The 16,030-nt window shown below is 39.6% G+C and overlaps 1 annotated feature.

Moving 5' to 3' along the window:
* Positions 15,233–15,732: an enhancer, noted in NCBI's record as "H3K4me1 hESC enhancer chr17:69353619-69354118 (GRCh37/hg19 assembly coordinates)". NCBI's record gives its function as "activates a minimal SCP1, AML or CMV promoter by ChIP-STARR-seq in primed H9 embryonic stem cells {active_cell/tissue: H9 hESC(primed)}" and the evidence as "EXISTENCE:reporter gene assay evidence [ECO:0000049][PMID:30033119]".

Below are 16,030 nucleotides of genomic sequence, written 5' to 3'. Positions count from 1 at the left end.
TCAGTTTTCTACATCTCCCAGTCTCTAATCAGGTTTTTGTCTAAACTACAGGCCAGATTTTTTGTAAATGAATCTCCTAAAAACTTGTTGGGAAGAAGGAAAGATTATTATGGAGTTGAGAATGGAATAGACGGTCAGAGAAGTTGGTAAAACACAACTTGTTTACCCTGTTTGCTAAAGACAAAGGGCAGGATGTAGAAAATGCCAAAATAATACTCCATATTCATTCAGGTTCATATTGTGATTGAAATTTCACATGAGCAGAGGACAAAGGCTAACATAGAAAGTTATTAGCTTTGGGTCATAAAGAAAGTTAAAAACTCCCCCTGAAATACATCAAAAGACTGAGAGCCCCCTGGAAACGACTGGGCAACATTTCTAATGCTGTGAAGTCAGGCCATAGCATTGCTTAGCTACTTTCCAATGTAGTAGAAATGATGCCGATAAGATAACATCGAGATTTACAAAATAAAAATAAGAAGGCCCAGCATAGGCCAAGATGTGGATTATATCACAGTTATGGTTTTCAATTACGTTTAACAATCAGGTTATTGTCCCTCAGTACACACTTGGCTAGATCTACAGGTTAACTGTGACAATGGCTTACCTTGGTGAGTGTGTTTTTCATCTTTAATGGCATTCAACGTGCAATATGCCTTTAAAATTCATTGAATACATAAGCATATCATAGACCTAATTTCACATGTCACAATTTTAAAAGTATAGATTTTTTCCCCCATCATGGTTACTTCCTTGGTGTTTTTTTTGGAACTTTCCTGGAGGCAGTGGGCACAGTTTCAGAGTAACTCCTAATGTATAAATTTGGAGAGGGCAAGGGGAAGGGAAGGAATAGTCACATCTTTATCAGTGGATCCAGACCTATCCATTGGCCTGGAAACTTCTTTTATCCTTCTGCATATGCATTTGTTTTTGCTGATTCCATTCATTATTCAATTAAATTAGTCCCAGTTTAATAATAACGACCTCCCTCTAGCCTGTGCCTTTAATGTTAGTGAAAACTAAAACCCAGGTGGTTTTCAACATGACACTTGCTGGAAATCAGTTATGAAATTACCTGTTTATTAATGATGTGTCAGGAGACTGACATGCTAACGGCAGGCACCGGCTGGAGTTGTGCTAATACAGAAATAACAAGACCATATTATGTGCAATATGTATTCTATACAACTATAACTTTCATTCTCTGGGGACACCCTTGAAATCCAGATGTTTTATCTCAAGATTTTAATCCCGGAGAGTGAAGATTTTAAAGTGAAGTCAAGCACACTCAATGTCGCCGTTTGGCCACACTTTCTCACGGGGGAACCCATGTGAGCAAACATTTAGTACCAGATGTGCAAAGGATTAGTGTCGTATCAGTTAATTGCCAGACAGGGAAAAAAGTCACTTTGCAATCACAAAAATGAATTTAAAGCATGACCTTAAAACGCGTGTTAAAGTCTGGTCCATTGATTAGCGACAATGTAAGTTTTCAAGGTTTGGTGGTTATGGAGCAAAATAAGAGCTGACCTAAACTGGGGAAGAAAAGGGTAATTTTTATTTAAAATAAAAAATTTTTACAGGAAGGTTTTACATTTTTATCATGAAAAGATCTGGCCGCAACACTATAAATAATATACTGCATAGATTCATATAAACCACTTTTTTTAAAGCAGACAAAAATGTACCATAAAGTTGATATTAGTAACAGGTAAAATAAACCAACAACCCCAGCAACTTGGGTGGGGAGAGAGTTTTTTTCTTTCTTTCTTTTTTCCTTTAGAGTTTTTTATAAGCTAGCTCACATAGCAGATGGAGTGAAGGAATAGCAATGATCTGATGATTCTATATTACTGCAAATAAACCCAACTATGTAACAAGCCACTGAGTAATTTGTACCAAAAATACAATATATCTCAATAGCTGCATTTGTATGGACTAACTTGTTGTACCTTATTTTCCTATCACCTTGTCTTAATATAAATATGTTATCTTTCGGAGTCATCGCTCATTCTGGAGGCCAGTCCAACTGGAGAGTATGTATGTAGCAGCCAGCAACTTTGGAGTCTGAATGTGGAAAGTAACCTGAAGCCACAAACGTCTTTAAGTCAAATAACTTCTGGACACTAAGTATCAGGGCTCTAATACAAAATGGCAAGAGAATTAAGAACATATCAGCATGCTTTTACAAAAGGGAGGAAAAATATTACATTTTTTACTCACTTGGACTTCAAATTGCACTCTGGAAATTTCCTTGCACTTAAGAAATCTACCCCATAGCACAGAATAGACGGCTGAATCTGAACCGGGAGAGGTGTGGGGGCTGTGGATTTGGCTGGTGTAGATAATCTGTCCAGGTAACTAATGAAGCTTGTTAGCTTTTGTGCCAAGAAAATCAGGCAATGGAGTTACCCATTGCTGATTACCTGGAATTTAATTTCTTAGGAGGTAATATGGTGGTGAAGGAAGCTTTGGATTTCAGCGCTAATAACACCACCTCTGTCTTCCCTTACCTCCTACTATGCTTTTGATATCTTCCTTTGGTGCTTTTAAAAAACCTTTCCTTTCCTAGGTCCTAGGCATTATCACACTATACTATTTACCGATTTCCCCCTCTAAAATGAAGTTTAGTCTTGATTTCTTGTGTTTCTGCCCTTGAGCCAAGTGTCAGGCCATTGCTTAATGCTGTAGTATGTATTAATTATTGCACATGCTACAAGTTTGTAGTTTACAATTTATTTTCTTGTGCATTTTCTCATTTGATATTTACAACAACCTTTTGAGATAGGTGTAATGTATATTAACAATCCTTCTTTTACAGACGGTCATCGAGGCTCAGAGTAGTGATGCCATTTGCTTACCACCACATGCAGAATGGAAGAGCATAAGGATTTGACTGAAACAAAATTGACATTAGGCCTTGTGTTCTTTCCACTGCACTACCTCAACAATCTCCTTGGTGAACAGCAAACAAAAAATCTTGGCTACCAGAGACAGTAGGAGAATGTTAGGTTACAAAATGGAGGAAAAATATTACATATTACATATCCATAACCTTGGAATTTAAATGTCTAGTTTTTGAAACAATAGGTCCTCTTTTTACAAGAAAATGTTTTGATTTTTAAAGCCAGCTTCTCATCTCAGAAATACTTTTTCAATATGGGCCTAATGTAATGGGAACCTCAGGACTGATAACTACTCAAATAAAGAAAAAAAGAAATCAAGTTTCCAAAGAGGCAGTAGTGATTTGGAATATTCGTTGGAGCCTAAGGGATGTAGAAAATCTACATGGTTATTTACATACATTTTTAATAATTTCTATCACAAATATACCCTTGCTGTTTTCCCAAATCTTTATTTAATAATGATTATAATAAAATTAAGTTTATCTTCACTGCCTTGCTTTTGGTGCCAAGCGGCCAAAGTTAGCAATTCATTTTTTTTAAATTCCTTTCCAATAGAAGTCCCAGAATAAAAATAACATATGACTGTGTGATGCTTATATTCATGGTGATTCAAAAGCACCAACTCCCAAGTGGAAACAAAATTTAGATAATTATGAACAGTCTCCAGTTACTCTTTCAGTTAAGGCAAGTGATGTCTTCTGGTGTCCCCTAATTTATAGGAATTTAAAATCCCGCAGAATAAAAGGAAGTGTCCTGGGGTACTGTCTTCTCTCAGAGTTAATTTCCAAAGAGAGATTCTGCCTCTCCCATACCAGATTCCCAAATCCAAAGCCTAGAAGAGATTATAAAGGTAATTTAGTTCAAGGAGCTCTTAGTGAGCAAGTTCATCTTAGAACCAGTGTGAGGATGATTTCAGGAAAAGCCATAAATGAGGGAATGCAATGTCCAGTCTTCAGCATCCCATCTAATGGGAGAAGACTTCCTGAGTACAGTATCTTCCTTTATTAAAGAATTTTCTGTATTTATGGGATGCATGTACACTTGTGTTTTCTCTATCTTAGATGTGTGGGTAGAACATAATTGAATTAATCTGAAAAAAAAAAAAAAAAACCCTGAAAACAACAAACAACATCCCTAAGACTTACTTCTAATTTTTCCACTCTGTCCTTTCCAAGATGTCCTGTTGATTTTGAGGAAAAAAAAATATCCTAGCTAATATTCATGGATCTCTTACCATTTGCTTTGATCTGAGCTAAGACCTTTCCAGGCAATATCTACTCTTTAAATTTCTTTCAAACCTGTCTTCTTCTTGTCATCCTGCATTACAGTCCTTAATGTCCTCTACCTCGGGACAATTATGCTTATTTTGGAATGGGTCATTCTTCTGCCCAAAATCTTTTTCTAAAATATATAAAATATTTATATATGCATGACTATGTAAATATTTACATTTAAATATTGTATTTAAATCAATATATAAATATAAATAGCATAGATTTTTAAATAGCATGCAGAAGTAAAAATTGTTAGCTGTTTCTCAGTATTCTAAAGAATAAATTCCAAAATACTCATTAGGCCATTCAGCACCCCACAATCCAGAGCCAGCCTGATCTTCTAGTCTCACTTTCTCTTCTAACACTAACACAAACCTTGCAGGTAATGGTCTGGCAACAAGCAGATGGATCACTTTTTCAACACCATTTTGCATACTTTAAAAAATTATTTTCTTTCATCTAGAACATTTTTTATGCCCTCTTTTCTACGTGTCCAAATCCTTACTTCACCTCCAAATATGTTTTAAGTATCGCCTTTCTCTCTTTTATATTTTCATAGCGCTTATACTTTTATTAAATACATTAATCAGATATTGTTACATCTTTTGTGGGGCCCAGTGCAAAATGAAAAATGCAGGGCCCTTGTTCAAAAACTATTAAGAATTTCAAGATGGTGGCATCGGAGCATTAAACGAAGTATGAGCATGTGGTCCTACCTGGCTGCACAGGTCAGATGCCCAGAAGACAACCCTGGCGAAAAAATAAAAATAAAAATAGAAAGAACACTTATGTTTTAACTAACAGAACATCTAACATGGATTGGGTTAACCGTATTTGTCAGTGAAATTGAACAGTCCAAAATTGGGACTGGCTGCAGGCACAATTGAGTACAGGATCCTGTCCCAGGCTCTAAGCTTTGTTGCCCCCACAATGGGGCAGGTTTTCCTGTGTTGTTCTCATGATAGTGAATAAGTCTTATGAGATTTGATGGTTTTATGAAGGGGTGTTTCCCTGCACTTCTTTCTTGCCTACTGCCATGTAAGACATGACTTTGCTCCTCATTCACCTTCAGCCATGATTGTGAGGCCTCCCCAGCCACGTGGAGCTGTGATCCCATTAAACCTGGTTTTCTTTATAAATTACCCAGTCTTAGGTATTTCTTTATTAGCAGTGTAGAAACAGACTAATACACTCCCTCTTTTGATACAAAATAGCCACATTAACTACAGACCTCACAGTCATTTTCGGGTTGCTCTCTTTTCTATTAATCAACTCATAGATAGGTTTACTTTGAATAGAATTAATTCGCCCCAGAGTGTTTTTTGTTGTTCGTTCTACTGAGTATTTGTTTTGCTCACGTTTTGGAATATTGTATATCAGCTCATCTTGAATGAACATTTTTTCTTTCTCTCTTGTTTTTACATTTTCTGCCCTATTGGTTGTACTGTTCTTTCTGCCTGTATTTCAAGATTCCTAGATTAGTGCTGGGACTTCTATTGTCATCTTCCACCAGTTTATCAATTAGGCTAAGTTTAACGATTTGACTGATAAACTACAGTATTTCAGTGGCTTAATGCAACACAAATTCAGCTCTCCTTTCAGCAACAGTCTAATGTAAGTGTGTCTCATCAGAAGACAGCCTTCCATACAGGAATTCAGGACCTCACAATCCTTTCATCTTGGAAATGTTTGCCATCTCTCAGGGTCTCAGAATCTTCTGATGGAAGATGGGAAACAAAGGGATGAGAAGCACAGCAAGATCCTAATCACCCTGTATTGCAAGGGAGACACACCACTTTGGTTGACGTTGCATTGGCAAGAACTGGTCTCCTGGCCCCACTAGGATTCAAGAAGAATTGGGAAGTGTGTCTTACTGGCTAAGCATCTACTTTTCAGGGACAGTTTCTTTTTTTTTTTTTTATTTTGAGAGGGAGTCTTGCTCTGTCACCCAGGCTGGAGTTCAATGGCACAATCTTGGCTCACTGAAACCTCCGCCTCCTGCGTTCAAGTGATTCTCCTGCCTCAGCCTCCTGAGTAGTTGAGATTACAAGTGCCCACCAGCACACCCAGCTAATTTTTGTATTTTTAGTAGAGATGGGGGTTTCACCATGTTGGTCAGGCTGGTCTTGAATTCCTGACCTCAAATGATCCACCTGCCTCTGCCTCCCAAAATGCTGGGATTATAGACATGAGCAACTGTACCCAGCCTCGGGGACAGTTTCTTTCCACTTTTTTTAGTCATAGAATTCTAAAGGCTCTTCAACCCTGGTAGTAGCAACTGCTCTTTCTGCCTTTTTTTCAGGGCCAGGGGAGCCTTGAGTGGTCCCAAATTTCATGCAGTGAGCCTGGCTCCTTACTGTTTACTTCTCTGGGGGGATTGTTGATCTTTGACTTTACATGATGCAAACTCTAGGCCTTTTCCTCTTGAATCTGAACTCTAGTTTAAGTGCATGCTGTGTTCTTACTGATGAGAATTAGGTCTTAACCCTAGTCATTGAAGTCAGGAGAATGAGATTCATTAATTAGCTCAGAGCAATCACGGCCCATCCTTGAAGCTGAAACCAAGATCAATTTCATCTAAACCAGATGGTTTGAGGGCTCAAGGGGTAATGAGGATAATTTTCCCAAGAAACACTAGGGTGAAACAAATGGATGCTGAGCCTCAAAAACAACCTGACCACTCTTATCATTTGCCCAGGTCTATCTGAATTATCTCTGATTGTTGATGTTTCTCATAAGCTTTCTCTGTTTATAAACCATGTCCTGTTCATATTTGGATCCTATGACACCTGGCATTGAGAACTGTAACATAGTAAGAATTCAGTGAAATATTTGTCCAATTGAATTACAACCATTAGAAAGAGATGATGGAGGCCGGGCGTCGTGGCTCACGCCTATAATCCCAGCACTTTGGGAGGCCGAGGCGGGAGGAGCAAGAGGTCGGGAGTTTAAGACCATCCTGGCCAACATGGTGAAACCTCATCTCTACTAAAAATACAAAAATTAGCTGGGTGTGGTGGCATGTGCCTGTAATCCTAGCTACTCGGGAGGCTGAGGCAGGAGAATGGCGTGAACCTGGGAGGCAGAGGTTGCAGTGAGCTGAGGTCTTGCCACGGCACTCCAGCCTGGTGACAGAGCGAGACTCTGTCTCAAAAAAAAAAAAAAAAAAGAAAAGAAAAGAAAAGAAAAGAAAAGAAAGAGATGATGGAAGTGCACAGGCTCTGGTACACTTAGGCTTCCATTAGTGCACATAACGCAGCTATGTGTCTTACCTTTTTTACTTTGGAGCGTAAATGAATATTTTCCTGTTTTCCCATCCAGGATCATTCTAGGCACATTTTTCCATCTTGTACTTCTCATGTAAGGAACTAAACTCACAATAAAGACTGCCTGATCAAAGGAACTTCTAAGCATGCCTTCATCAGGAAAGACCACACTAGGAGTGGTGGTATTCAGCTGAATAAAGTGGGAAGAAATAAGAGGAGCAGAATTCCTGCCAAACTAGCTATTCATTGTGCAGTAAAGATGACATTGGCACTATGACAGCCTATCAAAAATGTCATGAGTCCAACCAGAAAATATTTGATTTGGTTTCTGGAGACTCAGACGCCACTGATTAGGATTTGCTCATTGGTGTTTTATTCATCATCATTGCTATTGAAAACAGTTTGCAATTCATTTGAGGATCCTTTACATATGGCCTGAAGTATATGTGGCATTTAATTGAAAAACCACCAAATAAAGGCTTTTGGGCCATGTAAAGGGGCCATGTGGGTGCCAACTCTGAGCTATATGCCTTCATGGTTTTACCCTAAGTGAATTTTGATTCATGGAGATTCCTATTATTAAAAAATCATTCTTGCCACATTCCCACAGTAGGCACCTCCAGCCTCTGCTGGCTCCATCAGGGGGGCTAAGGGCAGGGATTTCTGGCTCTAATATTTTCTCCATTAACTTACCAATTTAGGAGACAAAACTCACTCTAAAATTTTATCTCTTATCTGCCAGGAAGAGCAGGAGCTGAGGTAGAAGAGTTTCCTCCCTTGTTTAAAGGAAATCATTGAAAAAGGGAAAGAAGAAAGCAAAGAAGAGAGGAAGGAAAGATGGGAGGATGGAAGAAAGGAAGGAAGGAAGGAAATAATTCCTTGATTCTCTGAAATCTATTTACATTATCAAGTCACATAATGGGGAGAAATGTCTGAACAGTACATTTGAAGAATTATCTAAATGTTTAACTTTTTATCTGAGCACCTGTATTAGAAGGCTCCCTCATTTATCATCCCACCCTCAAACCCATCAGAAATTTTTAAAAAGAAATAAAAAGATGTCTTTCTTCTGAAAGCAAATGTGTTCTATGCTACTGGGTTAAAGATCCCAAGAGACTGCCTTGACTCCATCTATAGGAGCCCTTCTGTCACTTAAGCCCCTGAGACAGATGGTAAACATTGGTAGTGCATGTACAAGGGATGACAAAAGACAGTTCCCCATCTCCCCTTCCAAGTGTAGGACTTGATTTTCAATTTCTTCTTATGGACAAAAACCGTCTGTATCACAGTAAGGAGAGGGAGGAGGGTTAAGGGAGGAGGCTGGAAAAAACTAGCAAAGGGAAAAAAAATTGGAGAGCCAGCCTGGCACCAAAAATATAATTTAGTGTGCAGGTATTTGATTTGATAGAAAACCTGCATTGATTTAAAAAAATAGGTTCTTGACAAGGTCGTAATTCATTGAGAGAGGCCAAGCCCGCAGCTTAAGTTTGACATCCCCCTCCAACCTAAACCATAACTGGTTTTAGGTGATCCCCTGTGAGGGTAGCATGTTGCAGCTGGCAAAAAAATAAACACTCCAGAGCCCTGTGCTAACAGAATTTTTTTCCTTTCTTTTTTTTTGATTTATGCCACAAGCTAAGGAAAACAGTTACATATTTGTGAGTCCCGGTTTTGTTTGGCCTTTGCAAGCTTGCAAGGACTGGTGTCCTGCTGAGGGAGGGAGACACTGCAAAGGCTGTAGCAGGCAGGAACACAGTGGATAGCTCACTGGACAAGGCAGTGAGTAGGGAAGAGGGCGGGTGGATGATGATAAAGGGAGAGACACGGTTGCTAAAAGGTTTGATTGGCCAGTTTCCTTTTCCTTTCTTCTCTGCCTCAAGGCCACTTGAATCTCAGGTGAAAGGCAAATTCTTTCAGAGATAGAAACTTGTAAATGATTAGCCATCCTTGTTTTCCCCAAGCAGGATCATTCTTTTCCTAGAGCATGGTCAGTTGGGAGTTTCCCTACTTTTTTGATTTCCTGCATGGCATGGTCAACTCAAGCTTGGCAAATGCAAATGGGAACAAGTGAGGAGGGCTTACTTTCCTTCATTACTTTCCTTCTTCATTGTCTGAGTGGTACAAACTGTGCCAAGAAAAGGCCATGCCATATCAGTGTTCTTCTCAGGCTGATACATGGCTCACTTGGTCCTCATTTTGCAGAGCATGTAGGGGTTTGGAAGCTGATAGGGTCTGGCTTTGTGTCTCCACCCAAATCTCCCCTTGAACTGTAGTAATCCACACATATTGCGGGAGGGACCTGATGGGATATAATTGAATCACGAGGGTGGGTTTTTCCTGTGCTATTCTCATGATAGTGAATAAGTCTCATGAAATCTGATGGTTTTTTAAGGGGTTTCCCCTTTCACTTGGCTCTCATTTTCTCTTGCCTGCCACCATGTAAGACATGCCTTTCACCTTCCGCTATGATTGTGAGGCCTCCCCAGCTATGTGGAACTGTGAATCCATTAAACATCTCTTTCTTTATAAATTATCCAGGCTTGGGTATGTCTTTATTAGCAGCATGAAAACAGACTAATACAGAAGCCCAGCAAGGTTAATTAGCTCAGGGTCCCAAGCTCAAGGACCTGAGGACCAGGTCTAAGGTCTAGGTCCTGGTTTGTCCGTCTAGTTAACTTTACACTTGAACGCATGCCCATCCCTACTCCCATTTAAAGAATTAAAGAAACAATTGTTAAATGGAATGAGGTACCCTGGACTGGATCCTGGGACAGAATGAGGACGTATATGGAAAACTGGTAAAATTCAAGTAAGGACAGCTTTTTAATCAATAGTAATATCAGTGTTGGATTTTTTAGTTTGGACAATTATCAGGATAATGTAAGATGATAACTGTAGAGGAAATTGTGCAAGGGGTACACAAGATAACTCTGTACTATATTTTCAATTATTTTTACAAATCTAAAATTATTTTTAAAATATTTACTTTTTAAAAGATATAATTACAAAAGAAAGCATTTTAGCACTTTTGTCCAAGTTTGTATTAGAACACATCCCCCAGATGGACTCCGTGAGGATCATGCAATTTGCTTCTTACTCCCAACAACTGAAATGGTCTTTCTTCTCTCAGACAAAAACTGGGAGGTCCAAACAGATGAATTTTGACACCCCTAAAGAGATGTTCTAGGGGGTGAAGGTCTTTCAGGGAGTGGAGGGATGCAGGTGGGTGCTCACTTTATCGTTTTTATCTTTAGAGAAGAAAATTTATATTTTGTATATGTATCCAGATTTACAGATGGGGAAATTAAGAGGGTGAGTACATATCTTTATTTCTTTCAGGGCCAGAAGATTAGTAATGATTAACCTTGAGTGAATCCTATCTTAACCCCAGTGTTTCTTGAAAAAACATTAATAAGATCTTTCCCCAGGAGCATGTAGCACAACTTTTGAGAGTCGACTGCAGTCATGGCTTACCACCCACGTACTTGCCAAAACCTCTAAATTACTTACATTATTACATCATCCTTCTTTGTGTATGTGCTTGTTGCATTGCATAAATATACCCTCTCTAGCTGGTTTCTTTAATCTTTTCTATCCGCAGCATATATCACTAAAAAAATGACTTCACAGGAGACAAATTATTCCATAATAATGTGCAGAATCATTTGAGTCCCATTTGGTCTCCATGACAATATAAAAATATAAATGTCTGCTGCATAAAAATGAATAGAAAAGTGTGTTTTGGTGGTGTTAAAAGACATGAAGTTAATTCAATACTTCAACCAGATTTTTTTTTTACCACTTTGTTCCCATAAGTACATGATGCAACCTTACTGCCTTTTAAAGTACACACATAGACAGGAAAATGGATATTTTTTCCATCCTATTTGTCTCCTTTTCAGACACAACCACTGATTCACCAGTCTCCGGACAGGCAGCAGCAGCAGCAGGGGCGCCTGTGAACCCGAGTATAATAAAATTCTAGTATAACAGTGTGTTGAATGTTTATTTTGGCGATGCTGCCCTCTCAAATCCCCCTTTCAACTAATATTTTAAAATGTGGAAAGACATTAAAATGGAGATAAATTCAAGGCTCTTTCTGAAAGTGAGTGTCTCTTATGCTGAGAATTCTGAACTCTGTCCTCTCTGCTCCATTCAAATTCTCTTCATTTTCATAATTAGCATGGCAGGAAAGTTCAAGCTACTACCTGCCTTTTGGCAACTAGCAATTTAACTCTGAAGTAACAGAGAAAATGGAGGTCAAATACCCTTTTATAACCACTCTTTTTTCATTGCTGACATTTATAATTGGTCCTACGGAAAAAACAATGGAATTAACTGGAATTTATCATTGGTCCTTCATAAAGTGTAATATAACTAAGAGCTTAGGTTCTGGAATCAAGCAGCGATTCAACGGAATCCCCAGCCAGCACATTACTGGAGCAAAGCGATCGGTCCGCTTTCGCCTCTTTCTCTCAGTTTCTTTATATGTAAAATAGGTCTAATAGTAGCAGTAATGTAATAGCAGAATTAAATGAGATAATTCATATAAAGCACCTGCCGCAGAGCTCCATAGGCAATATAGGTGCACATGAGTTTACCAGGAGATGATTACTAATGCTGTTGAGATTCGTCAATTTTTATTCCCTTAAGTCATACCTGCCAATCAGTGGAGAATAAAAAAGTGTCTGTTCTCATAGAGTTTTTATTCTAGTGGTGGAGATGGACCAATAAAAAAATAAGTCAATATACAATTTTTTCAGTTGGTAAGCGCTGTAAGGAAAAATAAACAGAGGTAAGGACTACAGGGTAGGAAATGCTATTTTAGGTAGCATCATCAGGGAAGAACTTTTTGAGGTGACATTTGAGTAGAAACGTGCTCAAAGTAAAGGACATCAAGCCAGGTGGATATCTTGCAGGATTATTCTAAGCAGAAGGAATAGAGCATCAAAGCCCACTGAGGAGTGTGGTTGGTAGGTTTATGGAGCATCAGAGGGTCCTCTGTGGCTGGAGCAGATTAAAAGTTGGGAGAGCCTGAGGAGATAAAATCAGAGGGTGGCACGTGTAGACCTGGTGAGCCCTGCAAATGACTTTGGGCCAGATTGAGAAAGAAATGGAAGGAGCCATCTAAGGGCTTTGAGCAATGCAGGGATAAGATCCAAATTACATGAATTTAAATCTAAGCAGGGAAGTTGACTGGGGTGGGTGGAAGCAGGAAGAACAATGGTAGGACTTCGGCTTCAGTCTAGAAGAGGCTAATCATGGCTGGGTCTAGGGATCAGTAGATGAGTCAGCAAGGAGTGATCCCATTTGGCATTTTCTTTTTTGCGGGAAGAAACAACAGGTTTTGGTTTTGAATCGGATGCTTACTCCCTCTACCTTTCTGAGTTACTTTCTTTTAAGTCCATGTTCAACCTCAGTCAATGAGTACTTTTAGGTGACTCAAGACAGTCTTACATTTCTCTGGAACCTATAGTAGAAAGCACAGGTATGCCCCCTTCCAGAATGTGGCCGTTACTAGCAGAGGGTAGCAAGGTGTTAGAAATCAGTGAATACCAAGGTTGAGTGTCTCCTTTGCCTTTTAGTAACTAAGTGAACTTGGTGAATTAGATGGCAGTAATCATACCAGGTGATATGGTTTCGCCGTGTCCTAACCCAAATCTCATCTTGAATTGTAGCTCCCATAATTCCCACATGTTATGGGAGCGACCTGGTGGGAGATAATTGAATCATGGGGGTGATTTCTCCCGTTCTGTTTTCATGGTAGTAAGTCTCAAGAGACCTAATGGTTTTATAAGGGGAAACCCCTTTTCTTGGTTCTCATTCTCTCTTGCTGCCACCATGTAAGAAGTGCCTTTCACCTCCCACCATGATTGTGAGGCCTCCCCAGCCACATGGAACTGTGAGTCCATTAAAGCTCTTTTTCTTTATAAATTACCCAGTCTCAGGTATGTCTTTCTCAGCAGTGTGGAAATGGAATAATATACCAGGCAACATCTATTCCACAAAGCATGTTATTTTTAATTAACTTGTATTACTATTCCCACAGAGCTTGATGAGGTAGGTACCAAATACATTATCTCCACTTTCCAGACATAGAAACTGAGGTACAGTGAAGTTCTGTGACTGGCCTAATGTTCTGCAGATAGTAAGCGGCAGAGTGTGATTTGTATGTCGCTGTCTGGCACCAGCCTCCACAATCTTAGGAGTCTGTTTTACTGTCTATAATCCCATGTGTTTCCCTTCAAAAAGTTGTAAGGATGGCATGAGGCAAGTGATGTAATGGGTTTATTTAATATTGATACTATTGTAGATATCTAATAGACATTTGTTCCATTTTCCCTTCCCTCTTTAAAATACAGTAATCATGTGATCTCTTTCCTTAGAAATAGGTTCTAAATTTTGGTGGGTCAAAAAGTAGTTTTTACAACTAAGATATGGTCAGAATTCCAAGAGTTGGCCTTCCATTTCTCCTTCCTACTAGGGTGATGTGTGCACAGTTCTAAGGGTGACTTTCCAGAGATCTGACAATGACTCAAATGTCGGGAGGTAGATAGGACCCTGAAGTCACCACCCATGAGCAGAAATCCCTCACCTGAGTTGGCTGTGCTCACAATACCATCAGAAGAGTCTCAGAGAAGGCACTTTTTAAAATCAAATGAATAACTAATATAAATACACCAAAGAAAAATGGAAATAGTTGTTTATATAACAGCGATAGAAGAAAAGACCTGGAAAAAAATCTTAAAAATTGTCAATGAATTGGGAAAAAGAAGTAGTGTTACCATCCTTCCCATAGGTAACCTTCCCTAAAGGAAAGAAGATCTGAATATTTGGAAGAAGTGAGTCCTAAAGGGGATTCATCCCTCTACCCCTGCTTGCTCTTTCCTATAGCACAATTTCTGCATTGAAAGAGGACTTCTCCTCATTTTTGTCACTCTGTTGAGAGACTCATCATTGCTGCTTTCCCAAAAAACATAAATACCAAGGTGAGCATTCTTATTCTTTCCATTTTCCCTGAATAAAATATTATCTTTTTTTTGGATTTTAATCCGTTTATTGTTTCTCAAGTCTCTTTCATCATCTGTGAAAGACTCCAAATGCTTATTGTTCCATTGAACAACAACAACAAAAAAATAAATATGACCCTATCACCCCCTATCAATCCTTCCTTCTACATCTTCTCATTTGTACGACAGTTTTCTCTCTTCTTGCTAGTATGGCCTCCCCCTACACATGAAGGGTGTGAGTTAACAAGGAAAAAGTAATAGAAAAGATGGTAGTTCTTACTTTAAAAAATACAAAAAACAACCAAGCAACCAAATAAACAAAAACATCTTTTTCTTCTTTCTTCATTCCAACACAGCCTCATTGAGCTGCTAGAGTCTTCTGTCACTTGACATTTCTCATCAAGATTACAGGTTTTAAAAAAATTTAAACATGAGAGAATGATAAGACATCTTATTAGAAAAATTGAATAGACTACATCATTAGGTTATGAAGATAAGAAAGAAACAGTGAGGTCTCATGAAAGCAGGGAAAAAAGCAGAGAAAAATGAGATTCTCGTGGAAAGCAGGAGGTAATCTGGAGGCCCTTCAGGGAGAGGGATACATTAAAATGCTGATTATGTTCAGAATTACTGCCCAGCAAGTGTTATCTACTGTTATTTAGCAAGCACTTCCATTTGTCATAGAACACAATTTATAGTTGGTATGTCTTCTAGAGACCTCAATAAACTCAAGACATTTAATTAATTTTTAACACTGTGGGTATTGAATGAATGTGAGAATCTACTAAGACTGGACTTGGATGTCCTAGTTATAGCTGGGTTACATAATTCTTCTTTTAAAGTACTATTTTTGGGGAGAGGAGACAAGATGGCCGAATAGGAATAGCTCCGGTCTACAGCAACTAGCGTGAGCGATGCAGAAGACGGGTGATTTCTGCATTTCCATCTGAGGTACCGGGTTCATCTCACTAGGGAGTGCCAGACAGTCACTGACTAGGGCGCAGGTCAGTGGGTGCACGCACCGTGCGTGAGCCGAAGCAGGGTGAGGCATTGCCTCACTCAGGAAGCGCAAGGGGTCAGGGAGTTCCCTTTCCTAGTCAGAGAAAGGGGTGATAGATGGCACCTGCAAAATCGGGTCACTCCCACCCGAATACTGCACTTTTCTGACGGGCTTAAAAAATGGCGCACCAGGAGATTATATCCTGCACCTGGCTCGGGGGGTCCTATGCCCACGGAGTCTCGCTGATTGCTAGCACAGCTGGGAAGCTCGAACTGGGTGGAGCCCACCACAGCTCAAGGAGGCCTGCCTGCCTCTGTAGGCTCCACCTCTGGGGGCAGGGCACAGACAAACAAAAAGACAGCAGTAACCTCTGCAGACTTAAATGTCCCTGTCTGACAGCTTTGAAGAGAGCAGTGGTTCTCCCAGCACACAGCTGGAGATCTGAGAACGGGCAGACTGCCTCCTCAAGTGGGTCCCTGACCCCTGACCCCTGAGCAGCCTAACTGGGAGGCACCCCCCAGCAGGGGCAGACTGACACCTCACACGGCCAGGTACTCCAACAGACCTGCAGCTG

The sequence above is a fragment of the Homo sapiens genome, chromosome 17 (genome assembly GCF_000001405.40).
Source record: "Homo sapiens chromosome 17, GRCh38.p14 Primary Assembly".
NCBI classification, from domain to species: Eukaryota; Metazoa; Chordata; class Mammalia; order Primates; family Hominidae; genus Homo; species Homo sapiens.
The sequence above is the reverse complement of the archived record's forward strand: the minus strand, read 5'-3'. Positions and strand labels throughout refer to the sequence as shown.